At 46.5% G+C, this 1,171-nt stretch overlaps 1 annotated feature.

Annotated features, from left to right (window-relative positions):
- Nucleotides 421–637: a silencer, noted in NCBI's record as "fragment chr7:51427306-51427522 (GRCh37/hg19 assembly coordinates)". NCBI's record gives its function as "represses an EF-1alpha promoter that drives an FKBP-Casp9 reporter gene in an ReSE screen in K562 erythroleukemia cells {active_cell/tissue: K562}" and the evidence as "EXISTENCE:reporter gene assay evidence [ECO:0000049][PMID:32094911]".

Genomic DNA, 1,171 nt, shown 5'->3' on the forward strand with positions numbered 1-1,171 from the left:
TGTTTCTTCTCTGAACAAGTCTAGCTTTTGAACAGAACAGACATGAAGACAGTGAAGGAATGCTTATGAAACTGTAGGAAGGGCTGGAGGAGCAGGCTCCAGGCTCTGGGAGCACCCTCTGAGCACTCCTATAGAGCATGGGGCTGGCATTTGCCACAGAACTACAGACTCCAGCCAGCCAGGAAGATTTTTAGTCCAAAGGCCACTGCTGACATTGTGGAGGTCAAAATCTCACCAATCTGTTTGACCTCCTCCAAAGGCAAAGGGCTTATCAATTTTCTGTTAATAAGCTACCCAGTAGATGTTTTTTTTTTGTTTGTTTTTGTTTTTTTTTGATGGAGTCTTGCTCTGTAGCCCAGGCTGGAGTGCAGTGGCGTGATCTCGGCTCACTGCAACCTCCACCTTCCGGGTTCAAGTGATTCTCCTGCCTCAGCCTCCTGAGCAGCTGGGATTACAGGTGCACACCACCACACCCGGCTAAATTTGTATTTTTAGTAGAGACAGAGTTTCACCATGTTGGTCAGGTTGGTCTCGAACTCCTGACCTTGTGATCCACCCACCTTGGCCTCCCAAAGTGCTGGGATTACAGGCGTGAGCCACTGCTCCCGGCCCAGTATTTTGTTATAGCTGCACAAAGAGACAAATACAGGCATACTGGGGGATGTTAGGGATGGACGCTGAGGATAAGTTCCTTATATCCACCATAGCCTCTGGGATAAGGTCAAGGTCTGAGGAAAAGGGTCCAACAAACTCTTAGCTAGATGTACTCTTCACCTAATGCAGAGATGTGCTTATGATTAAAGTCTAACTTTTTTTACAGGGATTATTACAACCTTAAGTTTGTGTTCATTGTCTGAGACTGGCCTGGTTCAGTTCCCTCATTCCTGCACCATCTCCTTAGTATGCACGCATTTATAAAATTTATCTTTCAAAGAGCCTCCAACCTCGCTTGTATCTGCAACAGTGATGAGCACAGGAGATCCTTCTGGACATGACTGTCTTAATATCAGTCTATCCTGGCACTGTGGCCATACTGTGCCAGGGCCATCTTCAGCACTTGATTAACCAGCAACTGTACAGTCTCCTGAACCAAGGCCTCAGGGTCTGCTTGGATGTCATCCCAACCTGACATATCATGTGCCCTTTTCTGAGAAAATTCCAGAAAATCTTA

Source organism: Homo sapiens, chromosome 7 (assembly GCF_000001405.40).
Source record: "Homo sapiens chromosome 7, GRCh38.p14 Primary Assembly".
NCBI classification, from domain to species: Eukaryota; Metazoa; Chordata; class Mammalia; order Primates; family Hominidae; genus Homo; species Homo sapiens.